The sequence below is a fragment of the Homo sapiens genome, chromosome 1 (genome assembly GCF_000001405.40).
Source record: "Homo sapiens chromosome 1, GRCh38.p14 Primary Assembly".
NCBI lineage: Eukaryota > Metazoa > Chordata > Mammalia > Primates > Hominidae > Homo > Homo sapiens.
Window position 1 is genome coordinate 81,921,481 of NC_000001.11, and position 19,502 is coordinate 81,940,982.

A 19,502-nucleotide genomic window follows, 5' to 3' on the forward strand; every position below is an offset into this window, starting at 1 on the left:
ATGTGCTTACTCTGTTTATATCTGTGGCATAAGAGTGCACGTTAGCTTTCAGAAGAGCACAACATTTGCTGCTTCACAGCACACGGCCCTCCACTCCCAAGCCTGCACATGGTGTTAGTGATAGTTAAAGCACTTGAGTCTAACATTTTATAGATTTTGATGAACCGAGCCTTTCAGACAAGTTACTGATATGAAGCTAATTCAGGCTAGAAGTATAATATGAGGATAGACACTTTCTGCTTTCATTGTCACTTTTAAAAGCTTCTACAAACTGCTTGTGTAAACTATAAATCAGATACATTTTAGTTTGGTTTATATCATATGGTTATGGAACCATGCTTGGCTTCTGAAAATGATATCTTGTCTTTCATTGATTGATTTGCTGCCAAATGATTAGTGGGTTCTGAGATATAGAAGCAAATGTGCCAAACACTCTAACAGTATTTATTAACAACTGGTAAGAATATATTAGTATATTTGTTAGAGTACAGTCTGATGTTTATGGAGTTAATATATTTTAGAATAAGGTAGAGCGTTATGCAGTGCATATGATTCAGAGACTCTTAAAACAGTGACTAACCCCTCAAAGGCTCTGTAGTCTGGTGAAGAAGAGGAGATAATGTACAGAAATAACTGTGATACCAAATCTCCCTTATAGTGTAACAAACTTTCAAAAGCTGGTGGAGAAGGGAAAGTGGTAAGTTATGGCCTGAGAGGGGAAAAAATACTGTATGCTCGGGATACTGAGGAGGTCTGTTCAGGGAGGTATTCAGCTTCTGTCCCCTTTCTTTCACACTCTGTAACATGGAGCATGTTCGCCAGTTTCTTTTTCCTTTCGGGCATTGTGAGTGAATTCCCTCCTTTCACTTAAGCTAAGGAGGAAAGGATCTTTCAAAGATTGTGTTTATATATATCTCAAAAATTATGAAAATAGTCGTACAGAATATCATATTTAAAAAACTATTTTTAACTCTGTAATGTCAGCATGGAAAATAGCACTAGGATTTGAGTCCTTAATATTAACTCCGAAACAGTAAGGAGTTCAATCTTTTTATAGTAGAGAAGAGTAAGGTACAGTTTGATATTCACTTGTTAATTTTTATCTGTATAGATATTATTCAGATGTGGCATATTTATGGTATTACTATGTTTCCAAAATTACAGGTATTTCTACACTTTAGGATATAACAGCACGTAATGTCTTCTACCACTTTTTTTTAAAACCAGCATCACAGATGAATAAAAAGTTATCTGGCTGGGCTCAGTGGCTCATGCCCATAGTCCCAGAACTTTGGGAGGCGGAGGCGGGAGGAATGCTTGAGGCCAGGAGTTTGAGACCAGCTGGACCAAAATAGTGAGACCCCATCTCTATAATAAATAAAATATAAAATTACATTTCCCCTCCCTGCCTTTCTTCTTTTCCTCCTTCTTCCTATTTACCTGTGATCAATTGATCTATCTATGTATCTGTCTGTCTATCTTTTTAAAGATAATTTCTTGCTTTTGTGACTGAGATGCAGCAAAAGGACACTTCCCTTGATCTGTGCTTTTTAGAAAGAGCTCATTGGGTAATAGGCTGTAGACTGAATATTTACGAGTTGGTGTTCAGTTATCAAGAGAATGCCATCAGCAATGCCTTGTTGCTTTCTTATCAGCTACTTCCTGCTGTCAGCTTGGCACTTATTTCAATAGAAAAGGATTTGCATCAAATGTAATGCCTTATTATATACAGCTAACGTGGGGTTTTTAATTGTACAAACACATGAGACTCCTGCAGTGGTAGTCAATTTGATAAAAGGATTAGATTATGAATGTTTTGTCATGATTAAAGATTAGTTCAGATTTATCAGAAGTAAGCCAGTGAAATTTGTCATATATTTATCAGTCAGGTGAGACTCCATTAATCTGAGAGTGTATGAACCACAAGTAGCCATCTCTTTATAAAAGTCTGCTGAATTTGGTTATTTATATTCAGGTGACAGGTGCTAAGGATTGTTTTTGGCCTTCCCTACTTGCTCTACTGCTCAGAGTATCCCAAGAGTCTATGTCTCTAGCTTTTGGTCACTATTTTTTTTTTAATCTCATCTTATAGAATAGTTTGGTAAACATCTACACAAAATTTCTGTAGTTTTTATTAAAGAAATGACAACTAGTGTATACCTGAAGACATTTTGAATTGTTCCTTTGATTAAAAAACCTTCAGTAAAATACGGAAGATTGAGAATTCCAACTTAGAAGGTATTTAAATTGAGTACTTCTTGCCATAAACAAGACTAGGCATTGAGATAGATTGAAAAGAAGCCTGACATACAACAGAAAGGTGAAACTACAGTCCCAGACACAACTAAAATTACTGTGTGAGGCCTGATACAACAGTACCCACTGCTCTTGGAGTGTTTGGGAAATAATATAAACAAGGACATAAGAAGTTTACCGTGTAATTCTAGACATGGAAAATAATTAGTGAGTTTAGCAGCAACTAAAGTGCAAAATATAGGAGATGCCATAAAGCAGAATGTGATTAACTTCCAAATTAATAATATAGAGCTGCTGCTCTAGGAAAAGACTACTTCCGATTCAGGTAGTCAGGGAATATAATCCTGTTTGGCCAGCATCATTTGTATTGGCTTTCTGTATACCACCTGTGTGGCTGATTCTTCCCGCATATGTGTGTGCCTCCCTCAAGTATATAACAGGGAGATCCTGTTTTTAGGATTGCATGGAGGGCACCACTGGGAGTTGGAAAATAGCAGTTCCTCAGACTAGAAGCATAGTATCCTAAGCTCTGATAATTTTCTACCTCAGGGACTTAACGGTCCTTCAAATGGATCTTCTTATTAAGGAAGAGATAGTTCAAGAACTGTACATAGTCATTTATGTGAGAACTCAGTTCAGAGGTATTTGCTAGTGTGCTAGCTGTTTTAAATTACATAGATATCAAGATTCTCAAAGTCTACATAGAAAAGGTTGCCTCTGTTAGGATGATTTTTGTAGAGACGAGTACTGAGCCATGCTTATGGAGTAGATAATATCGTAGAGAGATGTTTAGGAGAGAGATCTTTCAGATGCAGTGATTCCTCTAGCCTGTGGTGTTAGTAAGTCAATCAGATTCTCTGGGCCTTAGTATATTGCACCTATATTAATGAAGAATTATATTAGATCGGTGATTTTTAAACTGGATTTCTTGGAGAAAACCCTCAGGTTGAGGGGTGATTGAGGTATATGGGAGGAGAGATCAAGTGGATTTTTCAGGGGTTTGGAGCCGAATTTCGCTACTATAATTCCAGACCTGTCTCAACTTCTATTTCTAATCCATTCTATTAAGCAGGATTTTTTTGTTCATTTTTTAAGTAAAATTTTTCATGTCAAAGAGATTGTGTTGCCAGAATCTGATACTGATTTGGTACTACTGTATTTGATGATGATACATAATTTATGCTCATATTTGTTATTAAGCACATACTTGCTAACAACATTTTTAAATTAAGGGAGAAGGATCCTCTGTTAGAACAGAATACTTGTATGAAAATTCCTGAGGGGAGTTGGGATATAATTTGACCATGAGGGTATACTCTCTATAAGTAGATGATAAAGTGAATTCCTTCTATGTGGGAAAGAAGGACATAAGGAAACACAGATCAAATTTGAAATTCAATAGTTAATAGAAAAAGATTCATGGCTTTCTGAATAATTATGTAGCACTTTGTTTTTAGAATAACAGTTTTCACTTTGTTGAACCTTTGGAGAAACATGAACTATGTATTTCCCTTGCCCTCCAACATTAACTTATTAATTCAGTTCATATATTCAGATATTGCTTGCTCATTCTTTTTTATTCCCTTCTACACAAAATATCCTATGAGTTTGTTTATAAATGACATCAAATATTTTACTGCCAAAATATTTTAGAAGTTGCAAGAGGAAGAAAAATTACTTTAAAATTAAAGTAATAATTAGAAATGTTTATTTGACTGAAAATTAAGTTTAGTGAAGAAATACAGTATGTGAACATGAAAGTTGGGAAAGATCCATAATTCGTTTTGTGTAATGAATAGCAGTGTTTTCTTCCCTCTTGATTAAAAAAAAAAAAAAAGTAAGCACTTACAGAACATAGAGTCATTTTAATAAAAAATGGGAAATGTTTCTGAGTCAGTTAAATACTTTGACAAAGATGCGTTTTTTAAAGCCACACTTCCAAAGTCTTGTTATTTTATTTCTATACTTTCAGTTTGATTTGTATAGGAAGTTCTGTCGGCATTTGTTGCCATGCTGTAATCAAAATGAGGTCTGTAAAAGTGGAAATTATATTAGTTATCAATTCAAATAGAAAATCGTTTGTTGTATATTCAGAGATTTATAATACTGACTAAATGACATTTCATCAAACATCTCAGGAGTCAGAAAAAAAATCTTTATGGCATAATTTTCTTCTTTTCAAAATGATATCTAAACCAAGGGCGTAATCTTTAAGGTGAATTTAAAATAGCCGCAACACAAATCTAGTTTACTCAATTCTGCCCTCTAAAACTCCTTTTAGTTGCAGGTTCTTTTGCATTATTTCAAACTCTAATCCTCTGAGCGGGTAATTAACAGACCAGAAAAGCCATTTGTGGAAAAGAAGAGCCATAAGGGTGAAAATATTTCTTCACTGAATGATCTTTAAGAAGTAAATAATTACAAACGGAAAGGATTTGGGATGACCAATCTAAAACTGAGGATAATTAGAAGGAATAGAGTATGAAAATCGAAATGCTTGGCATGTACAACAATTCTCATATCACAACAAGACTAATTAAATATTTAGAAACCAAAATCCCCTCACAATTCGAAGAAAAATAACCCACGACAAAAGGGTCTGTAACTTTGCAGATAATTGGCAAGGGTTATAGGAAGGAAAAACATCACAGATTGGCTCCAAGGCTCTGCAAGGTCATGTCTTATTACGCTGTGTCTTTTATATAGTCTGGTAACAAGTTTCTTGCTAATTTAATCTAACTAGGGCATCCCATAGCGATTTCCCATTTCCCTTGTTAAAAATGTGATAGTTTCTGCAAGTGCAAACTGCAGTAGGTTAACGTTTTTATAAATAATTGCTCTTAAGTGATACAGGTTGTAATATTTTTTGAATTATTAAAAGTGAAGGCTTTGAAAATTTAGACACAGAAGCATTATTTTTTTAAGTATTACAAAATTTTATGGTTTTTATTCCCATTTAAATTTTTTTGTTTCATTAAGTAGTTAGACCTGATGACCCTGTGAATGAAACAGTCTCAGTGGCATGCTTTGTAAATAAATACTTCTTATTTTGCTAATAAAAGCAAGCACATTTATGTTGAATGTGCATTTCTGCAAACAACAGATTTTGTACTGGATTAATAAGGCTCTGAGTGAGTCAAGCCTAATTTGCATTAAACTGACCCCAAGGTCCGGTAAAAACTGCAAGGAATTTCAAAGGTTTCTAAAACATAGAAAGTTGTTTTTAGAAAATCAGCATTGCCATTTCAAAATGCTTATTTTAGTAATTAATGTGGTATTTTTAAGGAAATTTTTGGAGTTTCTAAGTTGTAAATGAACTAAATATTAAAGTATGCATACTTTGTGTTTATAAATTCTGGCATAATATTTTACTCAAATGCAAAGGTTATGGGAAGATGTTATTCTGTTTTCATTGACTGAAAAAAAGCACGACAACCTCCTAGAATTGATTTTCCATAGGATTTTACTGTCAAGCTTTTGTTGACTTGCCACCAGTTACTTGATTTTTACTTGGGGAGTGAGGACTTTCTGTTTCTCTTATACACTATACTCCTTTTCAGTCAAATGGATTTATGTTTACACATTGAAAGTACAGAAAAACATTTTGCATTTTTGCTTATGATTATCATTTTAATAATAAATGCAATTTTAAAATAATTTTTATGCAATTTCAAGGATTTAATCACAGGTGCAATTTTAAAAAATCAGGATTATATTTAAAACTTTAAAAAAGTAGAAAATTGAATGTAATAAAAATTATATTGTTTATTTTTCCCAAATTATGTATCTCTGTGTACCAGTATTCATGCATATTATGCTAGAGATTCTGAAACTAACTTTATTACAGTAATGATTTCAAAATAAATAACACAGTGTTCTATAATGCAAATTGTATAATATCCTAACATACCTATAGGATTAAATTCTATATGATGGTTAGAAATCTAGACTACACAAATTATTAAATAAATAATGAGCAATAGCTATGTGACAAATGGGAACATTGTTACAGAACACCTCTTTTTTGCCACATGAATTACACACCGTTTAGCTTCCTAATGTTATGTTTACCTAGCAATTAGTTAAGCTCACAAATCATCATTAATAAATATTTAAAGAAAGCAAGACCCACTTTCCCTAGCTGTATAGAATAGAAATTTAGATGATAAAATAGCATTTCATTATAAAATAAAAAAAACTTTTTGAAAAGATTTGATTTAACATTCAACTCCATTTTTCTCTTGCATTTGTGAGGATGATTGTAACCTTGTATCTTGAAGCATAATTCTTTGTATTCCCTCTCCATTCACTTGATTATTTTGCCTGAGCAAATCTATTTGCATTGGTGCCTACCTATTTATGTTCTAAAGTTATATGCTGTGTGTATAAAATTTTGTTCTAAATTTGGACTAAAAAAGACAGTGGCTAGAGTACTAAGTCAGTTGGAATTTGCTAGTGTATATGGAGAAGTGATTAGTAGCTAAATACTTATCCCGCCTTCCTTTTAAATAGGTAATCTATTTCATAAGGGTTTGTTATTGGCATTGATGATACAAGACTATATCCAAATTGACAGGGTTCTCTGAGAATCAGGTACGGCTGATTGAGGCATAATTGGATGTCTGGTGTTTATTTTCTATTAACCATGTTTATTTATGAGCAGAAATAGCCAGATAATCATTAATCATTATTTAATTTTTTCAAAAACACCAGATTCTTATGTGCTAGGCATATAATCACCTCCAATAAGAATTTGTAAGTTGGCAGCTTCTTTTTTCTTTTATTATTTTCTCTTAAACTCCCACTTTCTAGTAGTTTCTAAATTTTTAAAACTTGTGTACCTGAACAGAATGTAATTTACTTATTAACATATAATTTATTTTTACTTAGTTATTGAGGCTCAAGAATGCATGTAATTCCTATTCTATTAATTAAAGAACAGATTCATATTGCAATAGTTCGTCTGTAGATATTCTGTTTGTTTAGCATATACAATTCACCTAAGGATGTGGTTTAAGCTCTTCCAGGAAATCCTGTGTATGTTTTGTTTATACTTGGCACTATGAAAAGGAGTGTCATTACATGATACCTTGGTACCTTGGAAGCATTGATTTCACCTCCAAAAAGTGAGCACTTTTAACTGAGACAGACAGAAAGTAACTCAGGAAAAAAAAAAAGTCTTACCATTGCTAGTATTTTGTAATTGAAGTTTAATGAATAAATAGCCACTAAAATATTTAAATTGATGAAGCAATCTTCATCGAAGATGCAGACTCAATAAAGGATTGAACTAATTCTTTAATTAGTAATTGTATAATTTCAAATTTAAGCAAACTTTAATTTTTTAGTTTCTGTCATGATATACTGAGCTTTTCTGTTGAATGCTGGAATATTTGTTCAAGGCGGTAGATTTTGCATTTTTAATCTTCCTTAGAACTGTGGTGAATAATGGCCCCTGGCAGGAGATAATGAAATTTTCTTAATTTATATTTTCAAGAAGAAGCTTCAATTGAAAATGGCATCCTGTGGCCTGGAGACATAGCTCTAGTGCAAGTTTCAGGGGAGCTGCAATAATAATGCAGTGCCATCGGTGACGGGGAACGATGGGACAGTGAAGAAGTAATTTAAGGAAGAAAAGAAAATGCACCAAAGCTTTATTGTAGCATATCTAATGATCTGCTGAAGATTCCCAATGGTTTTTGGAGCATGACTGGAGAAACTAATGTTATCTTGCCAAAACAGAAGCCCCTGCTTAATCAGCAGAACAAGACTATTGATTAAAACACCTCTCACAATAGATTACACATGGAATCTCGTCTCCATACTTTGCACTTGGTAAAGTGTAATAATGAGCATAAGATAATCAAAAGAAGAGTAAAAGCAATTTGTTGGGCATTGTACAATTCAAGATTAGAGTTGGAATGGAAACAAATTTGCATGAATAGTTGAGCCTGTTTTTAAAGCTGTACACAGTAAAGAGTACGCACAGTGCAGGGACTACTGTGGAAGAGTAAAAGATGTTCTGCTTCTTTAAGATTTGCAAATCTGTTCATCTTACATAGGGGACATTGTTATTATTGGTATTTTTGGTGGCGGTGGTGGTAATTTATATTTCTTGATGTTTGTTATCCAGGTATTGTGCAGAGAGTTGCCTGCACTATCCCATTTAACCTTAACAAACTTCTAAAGAAGATACTACGTTTTACAGATGATAATGCTAAGGTTGAAAGGTTTAATACATTGCTTATGGACTCACAATTAAGTAAGCAGCTGACCTGGAACTTACACACCAATTTTTTTCTGATTCTACAGCTTCTGCTTTTAAACACTAATCTTCCCAATTATCAAATGATTTTGCTTTTGAACAGAGATAAACAGTATGCTATATTATTTTTCGATACAATTTATTCTGAGAGTATAAGTAATGTGTGCATTGTGCTCTCTTTCACATAGAGTTTTAAAAGATTAAGGAAAGGGAACATATTAATAGTTTGTTTTCATTAATATTTCATTAGTAATGAGGCACTATGTCTCAAAAATAAAAAGATAATCTTTCTTGAAAATACTGCTGTTAATCTGTGCATGATATTTTTAAGTAATTTCCATATACTAGTATGTAAATTAATGATAATACACTTTTATAAAATGCCTTTTTATGCTTTACACATTTTTTTGAGAACATTTATCTTAATTTCAAAAAATACTGTGGATGCCTTAAAAGTTAATATTGAGACCTGAGAACATTGATTACATCTGGAAGATAAAATATACTGTTTGTAATACTTTCACCTTCTTGCCATTTGCAAATTGGGATGGTTAAGTGATGCATTAGCTATTTCTTAAAATCTTTTTTGAAATATATGTTGTGCACAAGCCTGGGCAATATCACCAACTTTAAATACTTACTCTAATTTTTGTAATCAGCAAATATATTGGTAGGAAGTAAATTAATAAACTATTAATCTTCAAAATTATTTGTTACACTTCAGCTTTTACAGATGCATATTTGGCTTCATTCCAGAATTGAACCATTGAAACCCTCACCCCCACACCTGTAGGGTAGAAAGACTACAGGGATGAGTTTTTAAACCATGAGTAAAATTCAGTGTTTTGGGCCAGACACGGTGGCTCATGCCTGTAATCCCTGCACTTTGGGAGGCCAAGGCGGGTGGATCACCTGAGGTCAGGAGTTTGAAACCAGCCTGCCCAACATGATGAGACCTCGTCTCTACTGGAAAAAAAATAAAAATAAAAAAATAAAAATTAGCCAGGCGGCGTGGCACATTCCTGTAGTCCCAGCTACTCAGGAGGCTGAGGCAGGAGAATTGCTTGACCCCGGGAGGCCAAGGTTGCAGTGAGCCAAGATCGTGCCACTGCACTCTAGCCTGGGCAACAGAGCGAGGCTTTGTCTCAAAAAAACCAAAAAACAAATAAACAAAATTCAGTGTTTTGTCCCATTTAAACTAGTTTATGACCTATAAAGCAAGACTTTTGGATTTTCTTTGTTGTGGTTGATGGATTTTATTAATGTTTTACGAATTTTAATGTCAGAAATAATACTTTTATTCCGGTATTTGAACTTAATATTAAAAGGTTTTATTATTGGGTTTATTTTAGTTATATTTGGAATTCTCAGGTTGAGTGTTGTACTCTATATACTTTAGAATAGTAAGAAAGGTCTTTAAAATTGTAGTCAGAAAGTTGCAACCAGAAATTATATATAGGTGATACTTCGTGCGTTTTTAACCCAGTGATGTGAAATAATGATTAAATCTTTGTCTTTGTATGCCAAATTTGAAAATTTTGGAAATGTGACTAGAAAAATACTAAAAATGATTATATGTTTAGAATTTGGGACTGAGTGCTTATGTAGTTTTATGTTTATTTTCTACTTAGTATTTAATCATGAATTATACCCTGGAAATGGTTTTTGTTCCTTGTTTTTGTTTTTGAGACAGGGTTTCATTATGTTCCCTGGCCTGTGCTTCAGTGGTGCCATCCTCCCACCTCAGTCTCCCCCAAGTAGCTGGAACTACAGGCACATACCACCACACCTGGCTAATTTTTTTAAACTTTTTGTAGAGATGGGGTTTTGCCATGTTACCCAAGCTGGTCTTGAACTCCTGGGCTCAAGAGATCCTCCTCCCTTTGCTTCTGCCTCCCAAAATGCTGGGATTATAAGCGTGAGCAATAGCGCCTGACCCCGAAATTGTTTAGACATTATTCGCAAGGCCTACTTATGCCTCTGAGTTCTCTCTAAAAACAGAAAGAAAGCAATTTCTGTATTTATTGCCTTCCTAGAGTTGAGCCACTTTATTAACATTTATTTGAATAAGTAAGTCAAAGATTGAATATAGGAAAATTGGCAGTGATTACAATGGGTCATATTTTTCTGTTATTTTTAATGACATACTTCTGTAGAACATAGTATATTTTTACATATTCTCAAAAGTTTTATTTCCAATTTTAGTGTTTCGTTAGCACATTTTTAGCAAAACATTATACTTCTTATCTGTTAAAAAATTGGTTCATATGTGATGTATACATGTACTCAGATAATATACTTATTTCAATTCTCCATGTTAAGAATTGATGAATAACTAGACAGCTTGCTCAAAATTAGAGCAACTAAAACTCTTGATTTCTACACTTAGAATTAGCAAGAAGACATATTAACATTGTAAACTGTATTATGTACCTCTTACATAAGTTGTACTCATCACTTGTTTTCTGTTTCACTTGTTTTACTAAGTTTTATAGAGCAAAATCATGTTTTGCCATTCATATTTATTCTTTAGTAAAGTATCTAAACCTATCTCGTTTTAACCCTGTGGCTCTCACACAAGTTGCACTGATCAGAGTCACCTGCAACACTTGTTAAATCTGAGATGGCTGGGTTTCCACTTCCAGAGTTTCTGAACCTGCCAATTTTTGGTGCAGCTTAATAATTTGTATTTCTTTTCTTTCTTTTTTTTTGACGGAGTTTCACTCTTGTTGCCCAGGCTGGAGTGCAATGGTGCAATCTCAGCTCACTGCAACCTCTGCCTCGCAGGTTCAAGCGATTCTCCTGCCTCTGCCTCCCGAGTAGCTGGGATTGCAGGCATGCGCCACCATGCATGCCTGCGTGGCTAATTTTTGTATTTTTAGTAGAGACGGGGTTTCTCCATGTTGGTCAGGCTGGTCTCCAAATCCCGACCTCAGGTGATCCACCCACCTCGGCCTCCCAAAGTGCTGGGATTACAGGTGTGAGCCACCGTGCCTGGCCAATAATTTGTATTTCTAACAAGTTTTCAGCTGATAGTGGTGCTGTTGGTATGAGGACCACATTTTGGAAACTACTGCTTTCACTATCTTAAGTCATCTGTTCATCTTTATAAATATAAAATGAAATAAGACCAGTTATTTGAAAGTTGAAGTGTTCAAAATATATTCTAGTATCTGCTTCTTTATGATGAACCGTAATTGTAGTTCCTTCAAATTGTAGTAAAATGTCTACTCATTAAAACCCTATTTTTTCTCTTTTGCCTTGTTCTCATTCATACCGATTTTTTATGCTTAATGTGTAAGAAAATTGTAGGTTATTAACGTAATAAACCCACATGGTATTACCAAAATATACTGATAGTTTGATTGTTAAAACAATGATACCTTTATTGGTAAAGAAATCTTCTTCTGTAGAGGAAGGGAGAGAAAGTCATGCCAGGAACTGTGCCCAGTACTGAAAATACAAACGACTAAACACTTTTTCTTTCTTGGCTTAACTCTACCTTTTCGCTTTCATTAGTATGAGAACTTGAAGCTGAGCCCTTGGCGGGAATTTACTTTGCTTCTGTGGATAAGTAATTGCTTTCTTTCTGGATCTTTTTAAATGATAGCAATTTACACTTTTATAATCTTATCAACAGCATATTGTTAAGGAATTTTCAGATTTTTCTTAGTATTAATAGCTCACGTTGGGTGTTTCCCAATGTCTTTCTTGTCTCCTCACTCTCTATTTGGAAACTTAATGCTGCTTGCACCCTTTATAAAGGAATATAAATGTCTGTATTTCTATTTCTGTAATTTGGGCCTCTAAAAGCTTAGATTCATTTCCATGAATCAAGATACTGGCATGCAAAGTTCTAATTTTCTTGTACTTTTTACAGTTGGATTTCTCTCCTTTCTGACCCTTAACTGTTTTAGCTCTAAATTTGCCATTTTTCTCAAGATTAATTTCTTGCACTTCTGATATCTCTGTGTATATAAACATATGAAATTTTCAAATTTAAAATGAATATTTTTTATATTTTGGGAGGCCCTGAATTCTAGAATTTTTTATAATTTTATTGCAGGAGCTTCATTAAATCAGTTTTGCTTAAGATTATAGTTGTAGAATTAATACGTTTTGCTGTCTTAAAGTGGATGCTTTGTGTAATGTGATTATTTAAATCAATAAAAATTATGTGGTTGGTATAAGTAATCATAATTGCTTTGACATTAATTTGAACCTGTAATTGGTCAGAGGACTACTGCAAAGTTGTTCAGAAAGAGTAAATATGGACAGTTATTTTTTATTATGGTGTTGGTCCTCTTTCAAACAAAATGTAATGGAAACCAGAATGCTTATATACTTCCTGCAGAACATACCATGACATTGAGAAACATACAGTAAAAGATCTCTAAGCCTGTACTAGTTATATTCATTCATCCAATTACTTCTGGTGGAAAAAATCTGGGCAATTTTCAATGTATTCTTTATTTTTGAAAAATTATATATATATATAAATGGCCAAATCCTTTGAGTTACTTTCTCCTTCACCTTAATAGCAAAGTCTTTCATGTTCATGTTCTTGGTCCATTTCAACTTTGAGTACAATTCCCTCTCTCTCCCACCAGTTGCTAGTTTGTTGATATGAGAGGAGCCTTTTGTGAGAAGGGAAGGTTGATAAACTAAATGAAGAGTTTACTCACACTAGAAATTGTTATTTGGAGGAGTTTTTGTAATCATATTTAAATACCATTCAAAACCTAACAGTTTGGTTGAGTAGTTATAAAATGTATACTGTGGGAGTATCTGAAAGGGATATCTAACACACAGTTGTTTATCTTTCTTCATTTCTGAGAGGTGTAAGGGTGTGATAAAAGGAAGATCACTGTAGGTATGAATAAATACAAAGAAGGAAATGAAAGGACTTTTGTTTTTAATGGGACCAAGTTAGTGATTTGAGGATTTCTGGCAGATCAAGAAACTAAAAAATCAGTGAACTGTCTTGTTGCTGCAAAAGTTTAAAAAAGAAGAAAAATGAAACATCAGAATTATATTTATTAGTTGGGAACATTAGTTATTGACCTATTGAGAAACTGTAAACCTACCTCTTGTCTTGAATTTTAGGATGTGAAATAGGTTCTGTGATTCATGTTAAAATAATTCGTTTACACTAAGTGGTGAACCACTGGTAAATTTCTTCAGATGAGTGAACCAAATTAAGAGAAATACAGAATAATGACAGGAAAACATATGTTACAGAAGATTGTGACACTATACCATTTACATTATTTACGTTCTTGAAAATTACAGTATATGGTATATTTCTAAAAAAACACTGCTATACTCTATTATAATCATGATAAAAGTTACTTATACTTTATTTAGGTCTTGTTTGAAGTTCATTGTAGTATACTTTGAATTATAAAATTTACCTATTTAATCCTGTAGTTTTCAGGCTTTGCTGCTCTTCAAAGAGAAAGTCTAGTTTTGAGTTGAAATGGCACCAAAGTATACGACTGTTCCTACCCATCTTTAACATGATTCACCTTCTACTGCCCTTTAGTTAGTGGTGCTAGAAACTGGGATGCTTTTCAAAATTCTTTATAGTGCTATTTTATACTTCAGTATTTTATGTACTATCGAATATGTGGTATTCCAACTGTTACATAAATGTTATAATGTTCTTGTTCTGCTTGATTTGCCTTCTTAATGTATGTGCTATCAGAAAATACAATAAAAACCCTGAAAACATTCCATTCATTAGGTTATAATCAAATCAAATTATAAAAGAAATAGTTCTTGCCTTTACAAAAGTTATGAAAAGACCTTTTGGACAAATTCATAGAATGTACATATCATTTTATCTGGAATTCTAACCTATTTCTAATATTCTTGGTGAATTACTGACATTGCAAAAACAAGAAAATAATTCCTTATAACAATAATTAGAACATTCTAGGCATCATGTTAGTACAACATTCTTTTTAATGTTATATTTTAGGGAGTACTGGTGTTGAACCGAGGTACATAGTCATCTCATTAATTATATAGGCACATTGATCTATGAATAGAAAGAGTAACAATAATGCTTAGACATTACATATGTGCCAAAGCATTTTTCTAAATCCTTTAAATGCACTTTATCATTTATGTGGACCATAGCATATAAGGTGAGCTCTACTAGCTTAGTTTCTGGTATTCCAGAAAGTATGTACAATGAAGAAATTCACACCCAACTGGATTTAGAGGATAAAATTAAAATCCTGGCTCCTTGTTTTGTGTTGTCAAAAACTTCCTGCTGAGAAATTCAGGTTTTGACTCTTACGTTTCTGTTTAGTTATAGGACCATTTTTAAAAATTGTAATCTTAATTCTTAATATCCTAGTAAGATATATCCAAATATCTTAATATCCTAGTAAGATATTTGTTGTTGATCTTGTTGTCGTTCAGTTCATGTTGAATATATCAAAAATTAAAATGTATAACAATGATAGGAAACTGTTGGCCATTATTTTTTTACTTCTAGTTAAAATTTAGTGTGACCCATGATACCACTGTATTACAACATAAAGAAAACAAAACTCTTATAAAATATTTAATAATGTAGAGTAACTTAACATCACTTGAATTTTTGTTTTATGTTTCTGGTTGCTTAAAGAAAATGAGAAAAACTTCTATGTTATATTTAAGTGAAAATAATCAAATAAATTATGTTACACAAGTTTGATACATTTTGTTTTTCAGGTGCAACAATCGAACACAGTGTATAGTAGTTACTGGGTCAGATGTGTTTCCTGATCCATGTCCTGGAACATACAAATACCTTGAAGTCCAATATGAATGTGTCCCTTACAGTAAGTATGCAGTTTATATTTTTTTACACTTTGCCCAGCATTACTTGTTGATGCTGAAAGACTACACATGTGAAAGAAGCATATGTTTATGGCCTACAAAACCATTATGTATGCAGAGCACTAACAGACTTGGGCCTCCAATTAACTTCATGAAGTGTGGAAGGAAGCCATAGTGTGATGCTGGCCAAGTGTCTGTCTGTGTTCTTAAGTGTTTGGCTTTTAAGGCTAGTGTTTTTCCAGAAAACAAACTTGAATTAGCTATTCAATACGGCTGATAGAAATCTGTACTTTTGCCCAATACCAGTTGCTGACAAATTGGTTTGGCTCACAGTTTTCTAAAGAAGGAATTGACTTCAGTTTTAATCGTGAGCTACTTGAATGGCTACCTGCTGTTGTAGTAAGTTTAGTGCTGGGTAAAAGCTACCATTGCAGTAACTGAGGCAAGTGCTTTACTTTTTGTTCTATTGTCTTTAAGGGAGCATTTCTTTATGGGATTCAGTGATGAAACCTTAATGCTAAATAAAATAGATATAATATAACCTTGCACATGGTTCTGTTTTTAATTTTGCAGCATCATTTTTAAGATCCTACAGATGGATATTTAAAATTCAATTGAAAAGTTTATAGGTAGGCTTCGGCCAGTAGTCAAATTTTGTATAGTTTTCCTTCTAATCTCAGAATTCGTACTTCAAAATTGTATTCTATACTTTCAGTTTTAAAAATCTTAGCATTTTAGACAACTTAAAAGTTTGAATATTACCTGATTTTCACAAGCTAGTTTGATAGTATTGTTGTCTTCTTTGCTTTTTAAATTATAGAAAAGATAGAGATGTCATTTAGTCATGTTAGTTCATGGGCGTTTGAATTATATGTTTTTTATCAGCAATTTTGCTGATTTGAGACAGTTTTTGTACACTTTCCTCCTTTAAAAAAAAAGGATTTGCCAAATAATGAAACTGCTCTTTCCAGAACCTCAAAAGCTAGGTCATTAGTTCTGACAGATTTATATGTTCAAACTATCAATATTTCTAAAACCAAAGGGCCAAATTCTGATAGATCTGCTGTGTCCGATATGGTAGTAATACATTCTGACACATGCTGTGAAGGCACTCTCCATCTTTTCTCTGACACAGTTTTGACAAATTGGCTTTTTGTGTTATCAGTTAAAGGCCAAACACAGATTATCTTTTCATCCCTGCTCTGTGTTCATGTGTTACTGTGAAATGGATGCTTTTTATGTTTTCAGTATTTTCTGTACCATTTGTAGGATTGGAAGCCTACTGAGTACACTGATCTTTATATCATTTCTCCTGTGTAGTGTTGGTGGCTTACGTAATCATTCTCCTGTGCCACTAGAGGAACATTGTATTCTTTTGACCTAACCAAAATTTTGTTCCATAAAGTCACTTTCACTTGAATTTAGCATGGTTTCTGTCTTCAAATTAGAGAAGAAATACAGCATCCATTCCCAAACAGTGGAATCAGTCAGAGCTGCCAAGAATTATCTTTCTGGAGCCAGTTCCTGTAACCTAGTCTATAGACCAAGAACAGTGTTAAGCAAATATTATTTTCAGACTCATAAGCTATTTCTTGTGCTGTTTAAGAAAGGAAAATGTGGATATCTTCTGGAACATCTAACTTGCAAAATTTTACTTTTTCAGTTCCCCAGAAGTATTGTACGTTGTGCACTAAACTTGCAAATAGCTATACTCAGAGAAGTATTTGTTCCTTTTAGTTTTTGTCTTTTAATTTAAAAAAATCAGTAATTAATTTGCTGTTACCTTTCTAGACATTTGCACGAGGCAGAAATAAGTCTATGGGTTTTTTTTAATCACTCTTTGCTAAAGAATAAAAGTAATTATAATTCCTATATACTCTACAGTAGTGACACTCTATAAATTGCACGGTTTCAACTAATATTAAAATACAATGCAAAGAGCCTTCTTAGATTATTCTAATCCTATGTAGGACAGTGTCTTATCTCTTTTTCCCATTTTCCTCACCTTTTGTTTCTTTCTACCTCTGTCCATTGTATTCATTCCTTATACTTTCTTTTAGTTTAAGCCTTTAGCTTTCACTTTCTCCTTGATTTAGTAGTGTTTTTATGTTTTGTAACATTTGCATACCTCTTTTACACGTTACTTAGTTGATAAAATTGTCACCATCAGATAACATTTATTATGTGTTTTTTACCACTTGGCTTTATACCAATTTCTATCCCCAGTAAATCCTCCAGGATCTTATATATTCCAATTAAGTCCTATTATAAAGCAATTTAAGAAGGTTTTCAAGACTTCTGAAAATTTTAAAAGAAATTTGCTCAACAGAGAACATTAGAAATGCTGTTACTTTGTTTACTTTAGTATGTTTATAAACAGGCGCATGCATTATATGTGATGCTTGTACTTTCCCAGTTAATATCCATGTCAAAAGTGTACATATACAGGGTATCCATTGTCATTGCCAGACTGTTAGGAATTGCATATATTTATATTTGAAAGAAGTCATAAAGATCTTGGAGGATAAAGCAGAGTAATCAGATTGGAATTTTGCATCCTGCAAGCAGGATTTGGTTTTGATTTTTGTACCTTATATTTCAAAGTATCATTGTAAAACTACTATAATATTAGCCACAAATTTTATTTAGTATGAAAAATAGCCATTATTGATTAAATCATTATTAATGAATAAACATGTTTATTCAATGAAATAGTGTGTCACTTCACATACAGAGTATGTAGGCTGTGTAGTTAGTTTGGGTTAATTTCTTGTCTTGCATATCCATGTAGTCCTCCACTGATGTTCGTGGGTCATATACTTGTATGTTTGGTCTAAAGAAAAGTAAATGTATTGTTAATTCATACGGCTCTTAAGACAAGTTGTAGTATATATTTGGCATGTGATAGAGAATACTGATTATATTAATTTTATTGTATTTTTGTACTCTTCTACTGATAGAATTTTGGCTGGTTTCACAGATGTCTGTCCTTTTGATTTTCATAAATATAATAACGTAGGGACTTTTTTGTTGTAAAGAGCAATGTTTTCCTTATGTGATTCATTAATCATCAAAGGTTTATAATATTTTAAATCTTTACTTTTGAGTGTTACTTACTTTTCAACAGAATTATAAAATATATACAATATATAATTTATACTTATTTTCCTTCAATATGTGATATCAATTAAATCTCAAGTAAATAAAGACTTTGATATTCTATTCCCTAACTACATTGTAATTTTAGTTTATCAAATAACAAAATTCAGCCATTTTCAATGAATGGAAAGCAAAATACACTTTCTACATCTTCTATTGAACTTGTTTTAAGTTCTTTTTTAAATAAACATTTTAAAATGTATTATTTCCATCCTTTACATTTAATTTATTTCAGTAAAATTATCCTTTCCTTAGGGGAAAAAAGCATACAGCTGTATATAAATTGTAGTTTGAGTAGTCACAACGCTAATGATTTCTCTTATCCTGATTTTCTCACTACGCCCTTCCGTTATTGATTCTAAGCAGGTATAATATTGCTCTTCGCTGAGGAGTAATTTTAGGACTAGTGGTTTATACAAAAGTATTGTTTTCAAGACAGTAATGTTGAATTTCTTGTTTTTCAGATGTAGTCAGAATAACACATTATAGAGCAAGTATGTTTCCTGAAAGTGGTTACATAGACCAAGTTGATTGGGGAAAGTTGTAGCTTAATGTGGAAAGTTGTATGCCATTCCTATGGCAAAAATGTTCGTGTGATGTTTTTTCCCATAAGTGTTTCAGAAGGCCAACATTTAATCTTGATGAATTATTGTAACTTTTAAAAATTAATCAAACTAAGATCTTAATAAAATGTGCACTACTCTGTCTGAGTACATTTTGGAAATGCAGTATTAGCAACCCTGATGCATTTTAACAACAGAAAAGGGAGAAACAGACATCAGTCTTGTCATTTTATGAAATTTAGGCAACATACTTCAAGCCTATATACAATGTAAAGTAGTATTTTATGGTTTGTAAGTATTAGAATACGGTTTACCAACAAGGATCTTACATAGCCCCCTTCCTAACTTCATAATCTGTTTCTTGAAACTGTAGGAGTTGTTTTTTTTTTTTTCCTCATGTAACTCTACTAATCAGGTTTGTTTTA

The 19,502-nt window shown here is 32.8% G+C and overlaps 1 protein-coding gene across 64 annotated transcripts in view; it reads left to right on the plus strand.

Moving 5' to 3' along the window:
* ADGRL2 (adhesion G protein-coupled receptor L2) overlaps window positions 1-19,502 on the plus strand; it is a 687,801-nt gene that overhangs the window by 615,349 nt on the left and 52,950 nt on the right. For all 64 annotated transcript variants that reach the window (NR_171658.1, XM_047416152.1, XM_047416118.1 and 61 more), the window contains one exon: window positions 15,248-15,357. Coding sequence is in view for 63 of the 64 variants with exons in the window: in XM_047416152.1 (XP_047272108.1) it covers window positions 15,248-15,357 (110 nt within the window). In the remaining variant the exon portion in view is untranslated. The remainder of the gene's footprint in view (window positions 1-15,247; window positions 15,358-19,502) is intronic.